Source organism: Homo sapiens, chromosome 8, assembly GCF_000001405.40.
Source record: "Homo sapiens chromosome 8, GRCh38.p14 Primary Assembly".
Taxonomy (NCBI): Eukaryota; Metazoa; Chordata; class Mammalia; order Primates; family Hominidae; genus Homo; species Homo sapiens.
In genome coordinates, this window is record NC_000008.11 from 55,763,762 (window position 1) to 55,785,450 (window position 21,689).

At 42.3% G+C, this 21,689-nt stretch overlaps 2 protein-coding genes across 14 annotated transcripts in view, besides 4 other annotated features; one reads left to right on the forward strand and one right to left on the reverse strand.

The window, feature by feature from the left end:
• The window catches only part of TMEM68 (transmembrane protein 68), a 34,621-nt gene extending 25,004 nt beyond the window's left edge, over positions 1-9,617 (reverse strand). For 5 of the 9 annotated variants that reach the window (NR_156454.1, NM_001363177.1, NM_152417.3 and 2 more), the window contains exons 1-2: positions 9,508-9,617; positions 175-219 (exon numbers count right to left, since the gene is read on the reverse strand). The gene's annotated coding sequence lies outside the window, so the exon portion shown is untranslated. Of the gene's footprint in view, positions 1-174; positions 220-9,465 lie in introns of all 9 variants that reach the window. The other 4 variants (XM_047421361.1, NM_001363176.1, XM_047421360.1 and 1 more) reach the window with 2 other exon arrangements.
• Positions 8,519-9,022: an enhancer, noted in NCBI's record as "NANOG-H3K27ac hESC enhancer chr8:56684839-56685342 (GRCh37/hg19 assembly coordinates)". NCBI's record gives its function as "activates a minimal SCP1, AML or CMV promoter by ChIP-STARR-seq in primed H9 embryonic stem cells {active_cell/tissue: H9 hESC(primed)}" and the evidence as "EXISTENCE:reporter gene assay evidence [ECO:0000049][PMID:30033119]".
• Positions 9,244-9,373: a silencer, noted in NCBI's record as "silent region_19201". NCBI's record gives its function as "represses an Ori minimal core promoter by ATAC-STARR-seq in GM12878 lymphoblastoid cells {active_cell/tissue: GM12878}" and the evidence as "EXISTENCE:reporter gene assay evidence [ECO:0000049][PMID:35858748]".
• Positions 9,464-9,653: a silencer, noted in NCBI's record as "silent region_19202". NCBI's record gives its function as "represses an Ori minimal core promoter by ATAC-STARR-seq in GM12878 lymphoblastoid cells {active_cell/tissue: GM12878}" and the evidence as "EXISTENCE:reporter gene assay evidence [ECO:0000049][PMID:35858748]".
• TGS1 (trimethylguanosine synthase 1) overlaps positions 9,685-21,689 on the forward strand; it is a 53,000-nt gene continuing 40,995 nt past the window's right edge. For 3 of the 5 annotated variants that reach the window (NM_024831.8, XM_006716485.3, XM_017014004.2), the window contains exons 1-2: positions 9,685-9,958; positions 18,987-19,051. In NM_024831.8, the coding sequence (NP_079107.6) occupies positions 9,858-9,958; positions 18,987-19,051 (166 nt within the window). In that variant the 5' untranslated portion in view covers positions 9,685-9,857. The remainder of the gene's footprint in view (positions 9,959-18,986; positions 19,052-21,689) is intronic. The other 2 variants (NM_001363184.2, NM_001317902.2) reach the window with 1 other exon arrangement.
• Positions 9,794-10,123: an enhancer, noted in NCBI's record as "active region_27376". NCBI's record gives its function as "activates an Ori minimal core promoter by ATAC-STARR-seq in GM12878 lymphoblastoid cells {active_cell/tissue: GM12878}" and the evidence as "EXISTENCE:reporter gene assay evidence [ECO:0000049][PMID:35858748]".

Here is a 21,689-nt window from a genome sequence, read left to right on the forward strand (position 1 = left end):
AAATGATTACATACATTAATGGATATTGTTTTTTTATAGAGAAACAGATTTACAAAAGTTCATTATGCAATAAAAATTTATCAGTACTGTTTTTATCTTAAATCTTAAATGACTGAAAATATAGCTGTATAATTATTTTACAAATTCACTCTCTAAAACAGTCATTGGACTTACCAGAAGTTAGATAAATATCTTGTCCCAAACTTCAATGTCTCTATTCTGGAAAGCACAGTAAACAAATGTAAGAAATAAATTACTAAGAAAAAAAAAGATAATCATTAATACCTAGAGTTAGCATTTCTATAAAATAAACAGCAAGAGACATTCATAAATGTTTAAGAAATATGATTATAGGCCCACACTGGTATATTACAATTAAAAAGTACACTCATGCTACCATTGCTTTGGTGAAGACAACTCTACACTGTTTAGTGCCACTATATAGAGCCCCACCTAAGAATTTATTTTAAACAAAGTTTTCAAAAGCTTTGTTTCTTAGGAGAAAAAGTATGAAGATATATAACTGACTATGATTCTTTTTAGTAACTTTGCCAGATAACCTGAAGGTGAAACATAACATTCAATTATACAATTATATTAGCCCTATGATAATATTTTCCTACAAAAGATTTCCTTTCTCCATACTTTGATTGTATTCTTAGAACTATTTTATCATTATTCCATACTATATAATCTTACTGAAAATTATCTCAAGTCCTTTGTAGCTGAGGCAAAAAATGAATAAATGAAAGCAAAGGATGAAAGGAGAGGAGGAGATGTACATATAAGAAAAATGTATTGTTTTTATTCTAAGATTATCTTGCTAACTGGCTTATTAGGAGGGCAGGCACTGACTTGTTCTCCCAGGAATGAAACATTTCATCTAACTTCCTTGTAACCAATAGCATTTACTTGTGAGAAATCTGGTCTGTTATGGTTACAGGAGATGAACATAGCAAACATTGAGCCCACAACTTGGGCTTTATTTACATCATCATCTAATCAATCCATATAAAAAGTCAAATCACCAGCTGGGCGCAGTGGCTCACTCTTGTAATCCCAGCACTTTGGGAGGCCAAGGCAGGTGGATCACCTGAGGTCGGGGGTTTGAGACCAGCCTGACCAACATGGTGAAACTCCATCTCTACTAAAAATATAAAATTAGCTGGGAGTGGTGGTGCACGCCTGTAGTCCCAGCTACTCGGGAGGCTGAGGCAGGAGAAACGCTTGAACCTGGGAGGCGGAGGTTGCAGCGAGCCGAGATTGCACCATTGCACTCCAGCCTGGACAACAAGAGTGAAACTCCGTCTCAAAAAATAAAAATAAAAAAAGTCAAATCACTATAATTTACCCATGTTTGATCATTTAGAATGCAACATAGCAACCATCCATCAGAACTACTAAAAAGGTCTTCCTTATACTTAACTTCCCCGTAACTTTTCCCTACTGGACCTAGTTTTGTACCACAGACCCTCTTCCATTAAACAACCTTGTAAGTTTAAAAACAGCTGCCATGAGCCACAAAATTCCTTCTCCAGTCAGAATCCTTAATTCTTTCAACTACTTCTCAGCCCCTGGTTTCTTAAGCTTTCAGCACTCAAGACCACTCCGAGTTGCTGACTCCAGTTATCTGATACTGACAACACCATGTACGGTAACCCCTGTGCCTCCGTTTGCTAAAACCTATAAAACTAGGATAATAATCCTAACTACCTCATGAGATTACTGTGATTACATGGGCTAATCTGTGTAAAGAGCCTAGAATACCTTACATGTAATCAGTGTTACATGTTTGCTATCGCTATCATTCATAGAATCACAGCAGCTTTTTTGGTAACTCGATCATACTGACTCATTCAGCTAAAAATATGCTACTATTTTCTACATCTCTACAAACTACACTTGAAAAAAACCTTTTTGAGCCCAGCAAAGATTATACATCTCATCTGCTTATTAACTTTCATGAGGTGGGCTAAGACATAGCCTATCCTTTCAGTCTGTTTCGGGAACACAGTGGATGACATGAATGGGCTTAGGAGCCAGACTGAACATACTGGAATACTGGCTTTACAATCTTAAGCAAGTTACACCTCTCTGTGTCTCATTGTTTCTCTGAAAATGAAGATGATAAATCATTCTATAAAGACCTATTTAGCACCTATGTACCCTAATATGTACCACCCATTTCCTCAGCAGCAAATAAAGCAAAGTCTACAACCTCAAGTGACTTACATCCTAGAGGGGGAAGATAGACAGTAAACAAAGAACTAGTAAATACATGCTAGGTCAGATGATGACAGGTGCTAGGGAGAAAGATAAACAGCAGTGTAAGAAGAATATGGAGTTCTATGTCAGGCACGGGAGTAGGGGAAAGGAGGAGGTTGCTATGTTATATAAGGCATTCTGGGAAGACTTCTCTAAAAGATATTTTTCAGCAGAAACCTGAGGGAGGAAGGAAGGAAGCAAACTTCCTAGCTAAATGAACAGCAAGTGCAAAATATGTGCACTTGGTGTGGCCTGAGGAGCAGCAAGGATGCCAGGCTGAGAAAGTGACAGGGAGGGCACTTGGAAATGGACCAGAGAGGCAACACTGTAGAGCTTTCTATGCACGCTTTTTTTTTTTTTTTTTTTTTGAGATGGAGTCTGGCTCTGTTGCCCAGGCTGGAGTGCAGTGGCGTGATCTCCACTCACTGCAATCTCCGCCTCCCGGGTTCACACCATTCTCCTGCCTCAGCCTCCCGAGTAGTTGGGACTAAAGGTGCCCGCCACCACGCCCGGCTAATTTTTTGTATTTTCAGTAGAGACAGGGTTTCACCATGTTAGCCAGGATGGTCTCGATCTCCTGAACTTGTGATCCGCCCGCCTCGGCCTCCCAAAGTGCTGGGATTACAGGCATGAGCCACCGTGCCCGGCCTCTATGCACGCTTTTATCTAAGTGAGATGGAGAAGGCATCAGAGGGCACTGAGCAGAAGGGTGAGGTTGCCTGGCTTGGGTTTTAAGTGGCTGCTGTGTTGAGAATATACTACACAGGCAGCAAATAGGAATATTTGCAATAAGTGATGAAAGTGGCTTACATACATGTGGCAGAGGGAAGGCAGTAGGAAATGGTCAGTTTCTGGATATATTTTGAAGATAATGCCAACAGGATTTGCTAATAAATTGACGTAGAATCTGAGATAATTATATGGTGTTTTGGCAACCTGAGTTTGTATCCTGGGAGGCTCTGCCACTTACCATGTGACCTAGCAAGTACTTAAATATCTTTCTGCCTCAGTTTCTTCATTTGTAAAATAAAAATAGCATCTACCTAATAAGACTATCGTGAAGATTACGTGTAAAAAAACCTAGCAAGTACTTAAATATCTTTCTGCCTCAGTTTCTTCATTTGTAAAATAAAAATAGCATCTACCTAATAAGACTATCGTGAAGATTACGTGTAAAAAAACTCTTAGAAGAGTGCTTTCTACCATATAAGCATTAACTATTGCTATCATCATTATTATTCACTTATAAGCATTAACTATTGCTTATAAGCATCTAAGCATAGTTAATGCTTATCACATATAAGCATTAACTATTGCTATCATCATTATTATTCGCTTGCTTGTGAAAAAATAAGAGTTGCAGGAAGAACAGGTTTGAGGGTGGGATGGAGATCAGGAATTCCATTTTAAACATGTTAAGTTTAAGATGTCTATTGGACATCCAAGTGAAGACATTAAGTAGGCAGCCGGACATCAGCAGTTTAGCAGGAAGATCAGGAGGAGGATACAGGGTATAAGTGGATGGCCCTGATATAAATCTAGGAATTGGTAGCATATAGACAATATTTAAAACCATGGAACTAGAGAAGATCCCTCCAGGGAACGAATATAGAGTAAAAAAGAATTTCTGGCCAGGCACAGTGGCTCACACCTGTAAACCCAGCACTTTGGGAGGCCGAGGCGGGAGGATCACCTGAGGTTAGGAGTTCGAGACCAGCCTGACCAACATGGAGAAACCCCGTCTCTACCAAAAATACAAAATTAGCCGGGCGTGGTGTCGCACGCCTATAGTCCCAACTACTTGGGAGGCTGAGGCAGGAGAATCGCTTGGACCTGGGAGGCGGAGGTGCAGTGAGCCGAGATCATGCCACTGCACTCCAGCCTGGGCAACAACAGCGAAACTCAGTCTCAAAAAAAAAAAAGAATTTCCAGGACTGAGTCTTGAGGCACCCAACATTTTAGAAGTTGGGAAGACAATGGCAAGCCAGCCTCCTCCTTGCAGAAGCAGTATCCTGGAAGTAAGAGCTTCAAGAAGGAAGGCATATTCTGCTGTTTTAAATGCTGTTGACAGGCCTAGTAAGGTAAGAGATCACTTCCTTCCTGTAGGAGACAGCTTTAAAAAAAAAAAAAAAATGATAATTGATCACTGGATTTTACAACACAAAGGAAACTGGCAAACCCTGGTAAGAGCTGTTTTTGTATAGTAGGAAACAAAACACTTTGGACAGGAGAGGACAGAAGCAGCTCCCCTTTACCCTTGAAGTTCAAGAATGAATGGGAGAAAATGAATTGGAAACAGCAAATATAAAAACTCACAAAGGAGGAAAGAAACAGGTGGGTATCTAGAAGGGAACACAGGTGAGTTGTTCCTTGCTGCTGCTGCTGCAGCTGTTGCTTTAAGACAGAGGCCAGGCATGGTAACTCACACCTGTAATCTCAGCACTTTGGGAGACTGAGGCAAGAGGATCGCTTGAAACCAGAAGTTCAAGACCAGCCAGGCAATATAGTAAAAACTCATCTCTAAAAAAAAAATTTAGGCCAGGTGCGGTGGCTCACACCTGTAATCCCAACACTTTGGGAGGCCAAGTAGGGGCAGATCACTTGAGGCCAGGAGTTCAAGACCAGCCTGGGCAACACAGTGAAACCCCATCTCTACTAAAAATGCAAAAATTAGCCAGGTGTGGTGATGCATTCCTGTAATCTCAGCTACTCGGGAGGCTGATGCACAAGAATGGCTTGAACCCAGGAGGTGGAGAGTGCAGTGAGCCGAGATCATGCCACTGCACTCCAGCCTGGACAACAGAGTGAGACTCTGCTCAAAAAGAAAAAAAAATTAAAAATTAGCCGGGCATGGTGACATGTACCAATGATCCCAGCCACTTGGGAGGCTGAAGGGGGAGGATCACTTGAGCCTGGGAGGTAGAAGCTGCAGTGAGTAATGATCAAGCCACTGCACTCCAGCCTCAGTGAAAGAGCAAGAGACTCTGTCTTTAAAAAAAAAAAAAAAAAAAAAAAGGGCCAGGCACAGTGGTTCATGCCTGTAATCCCAGCACTTTGGGAGGCCAAGGCGGGTGGATCACTTCAGGTCAGGAGTTTGAGACCAGCCTGGCCAACATGGTAATGCCGTCTCTACTAAAAACACAAAAATTAGCCAGGCATCATGGTGCATACCTGTAGTCTCAGCTACTTGGGAGGCTGAGGCACTAGAATTGCTTGAACCCGGGAGGCAGAGGTTATATAAGCCGAGATTCTGACAGTGCACTCCAGCCTCAGGGACAGAATGAGAATCCCATCTCAAAAAAAAAAAAAAAAAAAGATAGGAGAAAATACACCCATGTTCAATGTCAACGATAATTCATCAATGGGAGTGAGAAACAGATGATGTAGGAGAGGAGATAATTGTTAGAGCTCTGTCCTTGACTAGGCCAAAGGGGACAGGATACAATGTACAAGTGGATGGCCCTGAGAAGTTTGTGCCAGATACTATTCTAAATATATCAGTAAATAAAATAGTTATCTAAGAAAACATACGAAAAACACTTACTTTCTGGCACATAGTAGGCACCTAACAAATGCTGGCTAAATATACAACTGAACTGTGTTCGTCTAAAACTTTTTTTTTTTGAGACAGAGTCTCACTCTGTCACCCAGGCTGGACTGCAGTGGCTCGATTTCAGCTCACTGCAACCTCCACCTCCCAGGCTCAAGCAGTTCTCATACCTCAGCCTCCCGTGTAGCTGGGACTACAGGCAAGCACCACTGCACCCAGCTAATTTTTGTATTTTTAGTAGAGATGGGGTTTTGCCATGTTGGCCAGGCTTGTCTGGAACTCCTGGCCTCAAGTGATCCGCCCGCCTCCACCTTCCAAAGTGCTCGGATTGCAGGCGTGAGCCACCCTGCTTGGCCTCATCTAAATCTTTAACAGAAATCTGGATCAAAACAGTATCCTAAAACCTGCTACTAGAGAACTATCAGAGGAATTTGAATAAAATGCCTTTCAGTAGATAAAATGTAGCACTTACTTTTGATAATATGACAAAGTGTCTTTAAATCTCAATGCAACCCCTTAATTGTGCAGATAACAAAAAAAGTAAACACAGAAAGCCAAGTTTGCTTGCTTAAAATTACTAAATTAATTCAGTAAAAGCCAAGAACTAAAATTAAAATCTAGTCATCTTACCTCCTGGTCTGGCTTCCAACACACTTTCTTTGATATATCTCTCTTTTTCTCTCTTGACAGAAAGAAAATATTAAGATTGCAATTTCTGTCTTCCCTATACTTCTGCCTGGCCCTTCCCCTTCCCCCTGAATTTACCTGGGGGTGTAACTGACTTCTTATCACTTTATTTTAATCCAAGAAAAATGACATGGGCCAGGGTGGCTCACGCCTGTGATTCCAACAGTTTTCGAGGCCAAGGTGGAAGGACTGCTTGAGTTCAGGAGTTTGAGACCAGCCTGGGGGCAACATACTGAGACCTTGTCTCTACCAAAAAAAGGTTCGCCAGGCATGGTGGCACGTTCCTGTAAGTTGCAGCTACTTGGAAGGCCAAGGCAGGAGGACTGCTTGAGCCCGTGGAGTGAAGACTGCAGTAAGCTATAATGATCACACCACTATACTCCAGCCTGGGCAACTGAGCAAGACCCTGTCTCGGGGGCAGGGGGGAACTCTATGTACTAGAAGATGTTTTGGGGGAAATACAATATTTTAGTTCTCAAAATTCCAGGTTATTTTCTACAGCCCCCTGCTCCTAAAAATCTAAAATAAACACAGTCTAATGCATCACATATAAAGTATCTTAATTTCCCTATCTGGAAATCACGTAACTTTTGTAAAAACAAGTAGACAAGGCCACGCGCGGTGGCTCATGCCTGTAATCCCAGCACTTTGCGAAGCAGCGGCAGGAGGATCACCTGAGGTCGGGAGTTCGAGACCAGCCTGACCAATGTGGAGAAACCCTGTTTCTACAAAAAATACAAAATTATCCAGGTGTGGTGGCGCATGCCTGTAAACCCAGCTACTCAGGAGGCTGAGGCAGAAAATCGCTTGAACCCAGGAGGCGGAAGTTGCGGTGAGCCAAGATCGCACCATTGCACTCCAGCCTAGGCAACAAAAATGAATCTCCGTCTCCAAAAAAAAAAAAAAGTTGACAAGCTCAAATATCACCATATTGACATTGATGGTGAGGATATGGACCTTACAGATGTTTAAAATCAGAGTATTTCAAAAACTAATAAATCAGAACAGAGAACTTTTTGGCTTTCAATAAAACCTTAAGAAAGTGTATCTATTTTAGGCTGGGCTCAGTGGCTCATGCCTATAATCCTAACACTTTGGGAGGCTGAGGCAGGCAAATCACTTGAACCCAAGAATTCAAGACCAGTCTGGGCAATATGGCAAAACCTTGTCTCTACAAAACACACACACACACACACACACACAAAATTAGGCAGGCATGGTGGCATGCCTGTAGCCCCAGCTACTCGGGGGGCTGAGGTAGGAGGATTGCTTGAGCCTGGGAGGTAGAGGTTGCTGTGAGCCGCGATCGCGCCACTACACTACAGCCTGGGTGACAGAGCAAGATCCTGTCTCAAAAAAAATAAATAAATAAATAAATAAAGTATATCTATTTTGAACACCCATTACCAGTACTTTTCCATTTTACTTTTAGTATATAAGTCACATTGAGAACATTCTGAAAATGCCAATTAAAAGATATAGTCACTGAAAAACAAGTTTTCCTGTTTCCTTTCTGCATATTTAATAATGGTTTAACAGAGATACAGCACTGTTTTACTGAATAGGACTTCTACTTCAAACCATGAATAAAGCTGCAATTTAGTATTTGTCAAGATAGCTGGTAAATCTAATCCTTTTAGCTTTAATACTTTTTTTATTTCAAGCTTTAAACTCGAGGTTCTGATACAAATTACCCTTCAAGACTTTTCTTTAATCCTAGAATGCCCAACTTCTAGCTAAAATCTTCCACTCTGTTTCATAATTACTGTTCTACCCTTATTATCGTAACCCAGCTACTCATCCCAATAATGCTGCACATCTATACTGGTATATCTGTAACCGTGCAGCACTCTTACCTTCTTGAACCAACAAAATCAGCCTATCTCCGACCTCAAAGTAGGGCAGCAGTAAGGAGGTGGGAATAAACATTTGAAAATGAATATTTCCACTAACTAGTAAATGTGGCCAAAATACTATTGAAAATACCATTCAAAATGCATGAATTTTAGCTCAGTTTTTATATAGTTCTGAAGAAGTACCAATACTATTTTGGCATTTCGTAGCACCAACCACGTCCGAAGCGCTCCAACTTTCAAGTCTGAGCTTGTCTCTGAAGAAGTTGCCCGTGCAGCCTCCATGAATACCACACACCAAATACTAACTGCTTTTTAACAGATCCAGCAACGCTGCTGTTTCCATTTTCTCCATCCTATTTATGCCCACATGAACTTTTTTCTTATTAGATAATTAGTAACTTGAAGGCAGAGACCTGTTTTACAGGCTGCAAACCCCAGGGACCGAGACAGCACTTAACGCCTACAAGGTCCAAACCGACGCCAACGATTAAGCGCACAAAGGAAAGGTGTAATATACATCATTTCGTTTAGTCCTCCCTGCAGCCTCATGTAGTAGTTACTATTAATCAACCCCATTTCACAGGTGATCAAAGGTAAGCTCAGAAAGGTGAAGTTGCCTGCCCAGGTCACAAGGTAGGACCAGGATTCCAAGCCTGATCGGTCTGGATACGAACGCTCTACCCACGCGGCTTTCCCCCTACACTCTCGGGATCACCACACACTTCCCCTTGGCTTTTACACCGGAGGCTCGACCTGGGTCCCGGAACCAGCGAAGCCACTGGGCAAGCCTAGAGGCCTCTACAGAGGCTAGAGACGCCTCGCCCCACCAGATGCATTAGGATGAAACGCGCCGAACCGAAGGTTTAGAGCGCCAGGGGAGAAGAGGGGCGGGGAGAGCAGGCTCTTTGACCCAGAGGAGGGAGGATCTCCACACCCGGCCACTCTGGCGCTGGGGCGCAACACTGAGGCCGGCGGGAAGCCGAGCCTGCCCGCGAAGAGACTGGGGATTCCGAGGCGGCTCCTGGGAGACCGGACGCGCGCGGCCTCCGCCGCTCCCAGTCCCGCCAGACCCGATGCCGGGCTGGAGAAGCGCGGGGGCCGACGCACCTCGGATAGGCGGGGGCAGGGGCAGGGGCAGCTCTCCTTTACCCTAGAGCGGCGACAGAAGCTCTTCGGGGGATCAGTGGCCAAGGGGGCGGACAGATTTGCACGGCGGATTCCTCCGAAGCAACCCGTGTGAAAGAAGCCAAGCGGCGGCTGCAGCCCGGGCCGCGATGGGGGTGACACCGCCCGTGGTCCCGCCCCTTCCCGTGGCCCCTCGGAGCCACTTCCGGCGGCAGCGTCCGGGCTAGTTCCCGGCGCGAGCGGCCGCGGGCCAGTTTCTATCTCCTCATCCAGGGCTTGCGGGCGAGGCCTGTTTTAAGTCTCCAGTAACCGAGCGGAGGCCCGGCAGGCGCGACCCGGGCTGCGTACGTCAGAGCTGCCTCCGAAGTGGTAAAATGTGCTGCGAGAAGTGGAGCCGCGTGGCGGAAATGTTTCTCTTCATTGAGGAGCGGGAGGATTGTAAGATACTGTGCCTTTGCTCCAGGGCATTTGTGGAGTAAGTAGAAAAGAGAATCTCTTCATGTTCTAGCACAGTCATTACCCAGAAATGTAGGTATTGCAAACGTGGTTGTAATTGATCCCTGAAAGCAGCCAGAACATCTGACCCTTGGGCACGGTGATGTTTAAGAAAAACAAAACCCTCAGACATGACGGAGTGGTCGCCCACTGCCATTATTTTTATGTGAAGGACTACATCTACTTGGTAGGCTGCTATGAAAAAATGTCGTAGGTGCTATATGTCATCTCATATTTGTAAATCGAGGGGACATTTAAAAATTGGGGGAAAGCGACATGTAAAATGAAATCTCTAGTAGATATGATGTCATAAAGTGAAAGTTTAAAGTTGAGTGACTTGCTTTGGTTAACGTCTTTTTTTAAACCTAAAAATCTACTTAAGCCCAAATGCACATAATTAAAACTTCAAACTAGTTGAGATAAAAGACTTAACCATATTTACATCAGTTTTTGTGATATCTTTATTTTGGGGAAATCTTTGAATCAGGTAAAAATTGCCCCACATGAAAAATAGCTAGTATGCAGGAATAATACCGCCAAGAGACTTGAATTCTAGGAATTGTTTCCTTTATATTAAATGCGTGAGTTAAACCACTTGAACCTTTTTTTCATCTCTATAACGGGTATATTTAATCTCACATGCTTATTTTGTTAGAGTTAAATCCTTGTGGAAGTGAATTTTATGTGATAGACTTTTAATATAGTTTAATATAGTAGGATTTAAGTTTGAAGGAATTCATTTTTCTCGTGTAATTTTGTGGAGTAATTTGAAAACGCAAAAAGAAGTTAAACTTGTTAAATTTAATGTAAAAAGTATTGTCGCCTTTTTAGTCAGGCATGCATGTAGTCATACAATCATTCAGAAAATGTTTTTTGTGCTCTTGTATATCAAGTATGCTGGTAGGCACTGAGGTACAAGACATTCTGTCCTTACATGTATTGAGTTTACTTCCTAGCAGAGAAGATCAATATTAAGATAACTGGTTACATTATTACTTGGTTGATTATAGTTATAAGTGCTATGAGAGAGAAGTGCAGGATGCTGTGAAAACAAATAACTTTCCAAGGGTCACAGAGGTTTCTTTGAGGAAGTAGCTTTTGGAAAGAGGTCTAAGGGGGATAAATTGGGGTGAGTTTCAGTGGGAGAAAGCGTTCTCTGCAGGCTGAACTCAGTAAAGGCCTTGAGGGAGCAAAAGAAAGCCTGGGAAACTGAACAAAATGGCTGGGAGGGAGGGCACGGTGGTGCACACCTGTAATCCCACCACTTTAGGAGGCCGAGGAGTGAGGATCACTTGAGCCCGGAAGTTGGAGACTAGCCTGGGCAACATAACAACACCTCATCTGTACTGAAATTTTTTTTTAAAATTAGCCAGCTGTGGTGGCACATGCTTGTAGTCCCAGCTACTCTGGAGGCTTGGGCCAGATGCTCTCTTGAGCCCAGGAGATCCAGGCTGCAGTTAGCCATTGTCGTGCCTGGATGACAGAGCAAGACTCTGTCCCGAAAAAAAAAAAGAAAAGAAAAGAAAGAAAAGAAAAAAAACTGGGAAAGAAAGAAGATAGGGTGTGCACAGTAGGCAGGGTCAAAACCCGCAGGACTTTGTAGACTATAGGAAAACCTTAAGCTGGGGAATGACATGATCAGATTTGCATATTTAAAATACTACTCAGGCGGCAGTGTGGAGGATTGTTTGGAGGAAGAGAACCACTTAAGACCATTGTTTAGGCAAGAGATTATAGTGACTTGGATTAGGATAAATGGCAGCAGAAATGGAGAAAGAAAGAAAGATGGGAGAAAACTTGCTGGGGGTGGGGACTGAATTGTATTGCTGCCTTTCACTGAGGTAGGGATCACTGGAGAATCATGAATTTTATTTTGGGTCAACGGAGAAGAGATTATGAGTTTGATTTTATACATTTTGATTTGGGGGTATCTATGAGATAACCAAGAGTAGATGGTATAAGCAGTTAGATATATTGATTTGGAGCGCTGGAGAAGTCTGGGCTAGTTTTAAAAACTTGAGCCATTTAGCCTTAGATAGTGATTGAACCCATGAATGAAGGGTGGGGGAGGGGGACCCACCTTTGAGGAATTCCAGCACTTTTTAAAGACAAGAAGAGATGGATTAACTAGGAAACAGACAAGCCTAAGTACACTGTCACCAAGTGTTTCAGTGAAGGTGTAATCAACATTGGAAAGCTGCCAAAATATCAAGCAAAATGAGGACTAAAAGTATCCACTAGAATTGACTAAATCCCTTGGATCGATTGACTGTAGCAGGAAGAACCGCAGACAAAACCCCTCAGACACCAGGTTAAAGAAGGAAGGGGTTTATTCGGCCAGGAGCATCGGCAAGACTCCTGTCTCAAGAGCCGAGCAACCCGAGCGAGCAATTCCTGTCCCTTTTAAGGGCTCACAACTCTAAGGGGGTCTGCATGAGAGGATCGTGATTGATTGAGCAAGCAAGGGGTACGTGACTGGGGGCTGCGTACACCACTAATTAGAAAGGAACCGAACTGGACAGGGGTCTTCACGGTGTCTTTTTTTTTTTTTTTTTTTTTGAGACAGAGTCTCGCTTTGTTGCCCAGGCCAGAGTGCAGTGGCGAGATCTCTGCTCACTGCAAGCTCCACCCCCTGGGTTCACGCCATTCTCCTGCCTCAGCCCACCAAGTAGCTGGGAATACAGGCGCCCGCCACAATGTCCAGCTAATTTTTTGTGTATTTAATAGAGACGGGGTTTCACTGTGTTAGCCAGGATGGTCTCTGTCTCCTGACCTCTGATCCACCCGCCTTGGCCTCCCAAAGTGCTGGGATTACAGGCGTGAGCCACTGTGCCCGGCCCAGTGCCTTTTTTATGCAAATAACCGATTAGGTCAGGGGTGGATCAGTAACTACCAGGCCCAGGGTGTGGCGCCGGGCTGTCTGCTTATGGATTTCATTTCTGCCTTTTAGTTTTTACTTCTTTCTTTGGAGGCAGAAATTGGGCATAAGACAATATGAGGGGTGGTCTCCTCCCTTAGATGACTTATTAAGTGCCACCACTAATTGTTCTACATTTTGTACTGACAGAGACTCTCCTTAACCAGACTTTACACAGGCTCTGAGTGAGCTCTCCTTTTGATTAGGCCTTGTCATTTGGGACTTGTCTTCAACCTGTCTGGTCCAGTTTTAACAAGAATCCTTCTAAGTCCATTAGTTTTTTTGTTTGTTGGTTTTTTTTTGGTGGTGGCGGGGTGGTTCTTGGGTGTTTTTTTTGTTTTGTTTTTTGGGTTTTGGGAGGTTTATTTTGAGACTGGGTCTCACTTTGTCACCCAGGCTGGAGTGCAATGGTACAATCACAGCTCACTGCAGCCTCAACTTCCCTGGCTCAAGCAATCCTCCTACCTTAGCCTCCTGAATAGCTGGGACCACAGCTATGCACCACCATACCTGCCTGATTTTTTTATTTTTTGTAGAGACAGGGATCTCACCTTGTTGCCCACACTGGTCTGGAATGCCTGGGTACAAACAGTTTTCCCACCTCAGCCTCCCAAAGTGCTGGGATTACAGGTGTTTTTTTTTTTTTTTAGCCAGAATCCTGCTAAGTCCATGTAGCAAGATCTTCCCACCCTTCGTATCTGATCGCTCTGGCCTGCCCTCAGCAAGAATACTGTTGGTATAGCAACAATCCCCCCATGCTGGATGTCTCCCCTTAGTAATTTTCCATCCACTGACCACGCCCCCTGAATTTTGCCCATTGGCTATCTTCAGCTGTCTTTGCTATATTTGAAGTTGAGCAAAATTTCTCTCCATTGCCATTATCTTTTTTTTTTTCTCTTTTGAGACAGAGTCTCACTCTGTCGCCCAGGCTGGAGTGCAGTGGCATGATCTCGGCTCACTGCAACCTCTGCCTCCCAGATTCAAGCAATTCTCGTGCCTCAGCTTCCCAAGTAGCTGGGATTACAGGAGTGCACCACCATACCCGGCTAATTTCTGTATTTTCAGTAGAGATGAGGTTTTACCTTGGAGGCTGGTCTCGAACTCCTGACATCAAGTGATCTGCCCGCCTTGGCCTCCCAAAGTGCTGGGATTACATGCGTGTGGCTACCATTATGTTGATTACTATCGCAATTATCCTAAATAAAGCCTTTCTTTACCATTTTAACAAATGTCAGAATAATTTAAATTTTTTTTTTTTTTAATTTAAGCCTTCTAGCAGCCCCCTGAGGTATGTCTTGTTATCCTCACTTATTCAAGTAGAAAATTGAGTCTTGGCTGGTTGTGGTGGTTGACATCAGTAATCCAAGTACTTCAGGAGGTTGAGACAGGCAAATCGCTTGAGCCCAGAAGTTCAAGACCAGTCTGGGCAACATGGCGAAACCCCATCTCTACTAAAAATACAAAAAATTAGCCAGGCATGGTGGGGCACTCCTGTAGTCCCAGCTATTCTGGAGGCTGAGTCCAGGAGGTGGAGGCTGCAGTGAGCCATGATCGTACCACTGCACTCCAATCCGGGTGACAGAATGAGACCCTGTCTCAGAGTCTCAGTAGTGGCCTAAAAAAAATCACATAGCCAGTAAATGGCAGCCTTAGAATTCTACCGCACATCTGTATGACATGAGAGCCTTTCTACTATGCTACCAGTTGGCATAGAACATGATTTCATTGAATCTCCCTCATTAAGGTATTTAAGTAGTCTAAAGTCACTAGAACAACTGATGTTCTGTTCAGACACTTTAACATTAATATAGATTCGTGGAGATAGAGGACTATTCTGGAAACTGAAGAGCCTATATTTCCCTCTGATCATACTCATGTGACAGTGTCTGATGGTGATCTCTAGTCTTTCATATATGATACAACGAAATTGTTTGATATGTTTTCCCCCCAACAGGTTCCTGAGTCAGAATTTAAAAGAGTAGTGACCTTATAGACAGCATATCTGTGTGCTTTTACAAAACTCAGCTGTGTGGCCTTAGGCAAGTCACATATTATTTCTGTGATCCCCTTTTAACCTTTCAGAAAGGGCTTCCTTTCCATTTTACTACTTGAAAATGAAGCTGATTCACAGTCCCTTTGCAAAAGAGGAATTGCTACTTGTACTTCAGATATTGCTAAGAATCTTATATTCAGCATTTATTTCAGCCGCCCGAGTGTCAGGTGCTGCAATAGAAAGATGACTTAGGCATCATAGTGATGATTGCTATATTCAGAGGTATGAGGATAAGAATTCAGGTGGCTGCTTAGGGCTCTAAGGAGAGCAGTATCTTAGTGGGATTACTACAATCCAGGTTGGGTCTTCTGCTTTACAATTCAAGTCAGTAGTTAAGATTTATTTAGTCCTTACGTGTGCCAGGTCCAGAAATTACAACAAATCTTCTATTTTTGAGGCCATCAATTCATCCAGAGTCATTATGCTCTGTGGATTAAGGTACACTAATCAAACTCAAAGACAGCTTTATAGAGACTACTTAGCAAGTATAATGGAAATTCTTCAAATGCCAGGCATTAGAAATACATCATTCCCGGTGATGAATGCTCTTGGAGATACTTGAAAGTTTTAAGTAAGAAACAGTTTTCATAAAAATATAACAGCTGGTAATCTCTTGTTGCTGATCTTTCTGCCTCAAATTATCAGCAGCCTTGGAACATACGGTAATAACCTTGGACATCTGATTTACCTCTCACCCATGAGGAAAGGCCTTTCTGCCTCTTTCTCAGGACCTGACCTGTTAAGCTGGGCCCATCCTCCAGAAGGCTTACAGGCTAGCACTGTGGTGGGACCAAAAAGCTCACTAGAAAAAAATACCTGGCTCTTTGTAGGAGATGCAGGCCAGGAAAGGAAAGTCACCTTGCAGTCAGTGGCAGCCCAGGCTACATGCTTAATTCACGGCCCACAGTATGATCGGGTACTGATGCTACTTTTAGGAAGCCCTCCTTCTAAAAGAGAAGAAAGAATATAAGTTATGAAATATAAAAAGTTGAGAAGATTTCTCAACTCACACCTCTAGAAAATAATACACAATTGGATTTGAATCAGAATGACTTTTAAAACACTATTTAATGACCATCTTATCAATTCCATTGAATTTCATCTTTTTGAACTGAAACATGTATGCTTTTCATTACAAATAATTTCATATGTATTCTTTTTTTTCCTTTTTTTTTTTTTCTTTAAGACAGAGTCTTGCTCTGTCGCCCAGGCTGGAGTGCAGTGGCAACCTCCACCCTCTGGGTTCAAGCAGTTCTCATGCCTCAGCCTCCCAGGTAGCCAGGACTACAGGCCCACACTACCACACCCAGCTAATTTTTGTATTTTTAGTAGAGACAGGGTTTCACCATGTGTGCCAGACTGGTCTCAAATTCCTAGCCTCAAGTGAGCCACCCACCTCAGCCTCCCAAAGTGCTAGGATTATAGGCATGAGCCACCATGTCTGGCATGGCTTTTTTTTTTTTTTTCTTTTTTTTTTTGAGTCAGAGATTCGCTCTGCTGCTGAGGCTGGAGTGCAGTAGTATGATCATTGCTTACTGCAGCCTCAGCCTTCTGGGCTCAGGTGATTCTCCCAGCTCAGCCTCCCATATAGCTAGAACCATAGGTGTGCACTACTACACCTGACTAATTTTTTTTGTTTTTTCTAGAGGTGGGGTCTGACCTTGCATAACCTGGGTCTGTCTGATGTTTCATCAGGAATAGTTGGGTCATGCCTTAGCAGGAGTGCCACAGAAATGATGCTATGCCCAGCTCTGTGTGGCCTCAGGAGGCACTTTTTGTAGACAGTATACCATCATGGGTGATGTTGCTGAATGCCAGGTTTTCTACTGTAAAGTCACAATAGTTCCCTTTGTATTAATCAGTATTTTGTGGGGGCATATTCCAGTGTTATATCAGTATCCTGTTTTCCAGTAAACCCACAAGCCTTGGCCTTCATTGATAACTTCCCCCTGAATCAGCTACCTCTGTGAAGGATGCCAAGGAGTAGTTCTTGTCTTCTTCGCTCCTACTGCATTTATTAGTTAGTATTCTGTAAGGAGCGCTTTCCCTTCTCTCCCCATGTATTTATTCATTTATGTTAACATGGAATCTAGATTCTTAGTTTACTAACAGGTTATATTCCATTGCTAACATTAATTTGGTGCTGATATTGTCTCTGATTTGGCCAGAGTTCCCAGTGGGGAACTCTTTGAAGTGGCTCCTGTGTCCTTTTGGTATTTCTAGTGTTGAGTGCTTCCTAATCTTCTGGCATAAGATGACCCAGGTTTATCTTTTACAGTTCATGCTCCAACCTGGAATTGTCATTTCTCCGGGCAACTTGGTTCCTTTCGTGGAAAATAGTATTTAGAAACCAAAAGCTGGCTGCTCATTGTGCTTATTGCTCCTGTGCCCTCTTAGTAGAGAGAGTTGAGCAGTGTTATATATGTGTGTTTTACACGCATACATGAATGTGTCTGTGTATATATACACACATATGTAACACTTTTAAAAACTATTTTTATGTCTGCTGTGTATATAAACTTAAATGCCATGAGTTTATAACAGTACTTCTAATGTTGGCCCAACACCTGAGGGTTCTTTCTAGCCTTCCTTCCTATCAGATAATGTCTTGAGCCCACCTTGCTTTTAAATAACCTTCTTCATTTCTATTTAAAAAAAAACCAAAAATTTTTTATTTAAAAACATTAAAATAAATTTTAAAATAATAAAGTAAATAAGTAACCTTCAACAAGGGGAATCTTGGCTAACATTATCTTCAACACATTTACATATTTGCTCATTATAACCAACTTGCAACCAACCATACTGGTCCTCTCCTCCACCTGACACTTCAGTGCCTCATATCTTTAGGTGCTGGCGGGCAGACCAGTGATGCCCCCTGTGCAGCTCCTGCTTCCCACCCCCAGTGCCCATGTTCCTGGGGACCAGTTGCTGCCAAAGCACATTTGCACGTCACCCCCTTGCCTGTTCATCATCCTGCTGAGTCACCACCTACTTTACATTTAATATAGTATCTCCAAAAAAGAAGCAAGAGGATGTGAAATAGAGCAAGTACACTAGAATTTTATTTAGTTAAATTTATTGTAGCTCCATTAGAAAAGTTATGTTAGCTTCCACTTGCAATTGGCCTTCTTGTGGCAGTTACAGTGGAGTTTATTACAGCTGAATTTATAGTCAGGAAGATATTAAAAGCAGAGTCTTCCACTTTTTCTTAAGTATTCTGTTAGGTTTATTTTGGTAACCTTTGCTCAGACCATGAATACCTTGTCTACTGTTCACAATGGATAGTTTGTCTTATTAGCAAATGGATTAGTGTCTGCATATTGATTTATATGTATGTAAGCTAAATCTCTCCACTGTTATTCACAACAAAATTTAGAGAACACCCCATTGTTTATGTATCATAAGGAATATCAGATGTCCAGAAGAACTTACACTTTATTTATTTATTTATTTATTTATTTATTTATTTATTTATTTATTTATTTTGAGATAGATTTTTGCTCTTGTCGCCCAGGCTAGAGTGCAGTGGTGTGATCTCAGCTCACTGCAACCTCTGTCTCCCGGATTTAAGCAATTCTCCTGCCTCAGCCTCCCTAGTAGCTGGGATTGTAGGCGCCTGCCACCACGCCCAGCTAATTTGTGTTTTCGATAGAGATGGGGTTTCATCATGTTGGCCAGGCTGGTCTCAAACTCCTGACCTCAGGTGATCTGCCCACTTCAGCCTCCCAAAGTGCTGGGATTACAGGTGGGAGCCACTGTGCCCAGCCTTAATTTTAGTAACTAGCAGTTATAGTAATAAATGCTACCATGTATTAAGCATTGTGCTAAATATTTTACATATACTATCAGTCCTTACAACAACTCCATGACAAATGTATTATTGCCTCTACATTATAAGTGAGGGAAATGTATTAGCAGATTGCTTTTCTGTTTCATAAGCTTTTTATTAATTAATCTATGATGGCTCGAGATTTCTTTCCCTCTAAACTGATGGCTTAATTCATTTCAATATGAACTGCTTAATCTGCTTCGCAGGGATCGAAAATTGTACAATTTGGGATTAAAAGGCTATTACATCAGAGACAGTGGCAACAATTCAGGTAATATAGTATAAAATTCTATAAACCTTTTTTGCTGAAATTAGCCATAATGTGTTAATTTATGTATAATTTGTTATAATATTGTATTGATTTGTTAGCATAAAATATAAATGCCAAATAATTCTGTAATCAGACAATTTTTATTTTCTTTTATAACATGGTTCTGGAATCTCTATGAAAGCAGATCTTTTATTTTTCTATAGCTCCTGTGCTGACTTAATGTAGCCTCTTTTGCTGTGTGTAGTGTTCCTTCCTGAGTTGCCACCATTAGATAAGAGCAACCTGGAATTTAAAGCTTTGAAAAGTAGGGAATATGTGGTTTCTGGCTGGACGTGGTAGCTCATGCCTATAATCCCAGCATTTTGGGAGGCCAAGGCAAGCAGATCACTTGAGGTCAGGAGTACGAGACCAGCCTGGCCAACATGGTAAAACCCCATCTCTAATAAAAATACAAAAATTATCCAGGTATGGTGGTGGGCACCTATAATCCCAGCTACTCAGGAGGCTGAGGCAAGAAAATCCCTTGAACCCAGGAGGCAGAGTTTGCAGTGAGCTGAGATTGTGCCACTGCACTCCAGCCTGGGCAACAGAGTGAGACTCCATCTCCAATTTAGAATATGTAAATTCTAATCATAATACACTTCATGAGAAGTGTATTATGTAGGTAAATGCTGCAGGATAAAAAAATGCTACGGGATAAAAATTCCAGGTGAACATCTATAGTCTTTTGCCTGAAGTAAAGAGACTGTCATCTTGGTTAACTTTCCCAAGTAACAAATATAATTTATACTGTACATTGAGCCTCACTTTGATGTCTCAAACTTCCCTACTGCATTTGTCCTTCCACATAGACCTTTTGTGTTCCTAGACACAGAGAAAATTACAGCGTGGAGTTAGAAGCCAAAGTCAGCCCAAGTACAGTGTCATAGTTACCTTCGGAAACCCTTTAACTCTCATGGCGATGGAACAAATTACTGTTTCTTCAGTTGATCACTGGATGGAATGTTTGGTTTGTGTTTCAGTGCTATGCTATACAAATAAAGTTCCTATAACACTAGGCTCCTCGAGCATAAGAAAATATGCATACAATGAAAGGAACATAAAACTTAGCTTACTCATTTTCTCCATTTTGCTGTCTCCTGAGCTTTCGTAAGTATATTTGAATGGAGTAGTGAGTGGAATCCCCTTCATTATTTAGAAAGGTATCTTTCTCCCTCTTGTAGCAGAATTTGCACACAAGAGATTTCTCTTTATCAGTCTTCATTTTGGCTATATAAGATTTACTGTTCTGTTGCCTGAGACCATCAAGCTGGAGTGCAGCCCAATGCTAATTGAGTGTGCTAATACATAAAATGATTTTTTGTTATCTCACATTTTAAAGTTAATAGAGCACTTGAATGGCATATGTTCAATTAATGGTATAATTACTATTAGATAACCATATTGGTGTAAAGTAAAACTTACTTTGTTGTAATAAATGGTTTTTCTATAAGAATTAGATTCAGAGAGCTTGAAAAAAATCTTCCAGTTTAGGGGATTTCAAACCTTTCTCTTTTTGAGAGAGAGAGAGGGTCTTGCTCTGTTGTCTGAGTGGTGATCGCTTAAGCATTCCTCTCACCTCAGCCTCCCAAGTAGCAGGAACTACAGGCACCACCACACCAGGGTAGTTTGTTTTTTGGTTTTTGGTTTTGTTTGTAGTGACAGGGTCTTGCTGTGTTGCTCGGGCTTATCTCAAACTCCTGGCCTCAAGCAGCCTCTCAAAATGCTGGGATTAGAGCCATAAGCCACTGTGCCCAACCCCAGGATTTCAAACTTCTAATAGCAGAATCCTTTTGTTAAATCAGCTCTTCCACAGAATCCCGGAACCTAAATCCCAGTTGTATTGAAGTGTCTGTGAGGGGCATGAAGACATGCTTCTCACCCGCTCTTGTTAATACCTCCTAAAATAACTTCACAAATCATGATTTTTAAATTCACTGTCTTAGTTCAGTAATTTTGCAGATAAAGAATGTGAACATATAAGTATTTTCTCCACGTACCAGGGTTACATGGCCTGTTCTGTCTTCCTTCCATCCTCAGTATTTTGCACAGTGCCCAACATAGAGCAGATGCTCAATAAGAGTAAGTTAAATGGGCAGCTGGATGAATAGTGGCAGGCAGAGCCCAATAAGAAATTGATTCTTCCGTTGATTCTTCATTGGCTTTTTTTGTTACTACTCCATATTACTGTCAATTGGTGTTTTTTGTTTTTTGTTTTTTGTTTTTTTTTTGAGACAGAGTCTCGCTCTCTCACCCAGGCTGGGGTGCAGTGGCACAATCTTGGCTCACTGCAACCTCTGTCTCCCAGGTTCAAACAATTATCCTGCCTCAGCCTCCTGAGTAGCTGGAATTACAGCCTGGGCCCAGCTAATTTTTATATTTTTGGTAGAGACGGGTTTTCACCATGTTGGCCAGGCTGGTCTCAAACTCCTGACCTCAAGTGATCCGCCTGCCTCAGCCTCCGAAAGTGCTGGGATTACAGGTGTGAGCCACCGTGCCCAGCATACCGTCAATTGTTTTTTTGTTTGTTTGTTTTCTTTTTTCCTTTAAAAATTGTAACTTTGCAGGCCAGGCAAGGTGGCATGCAACTGTAATCCTA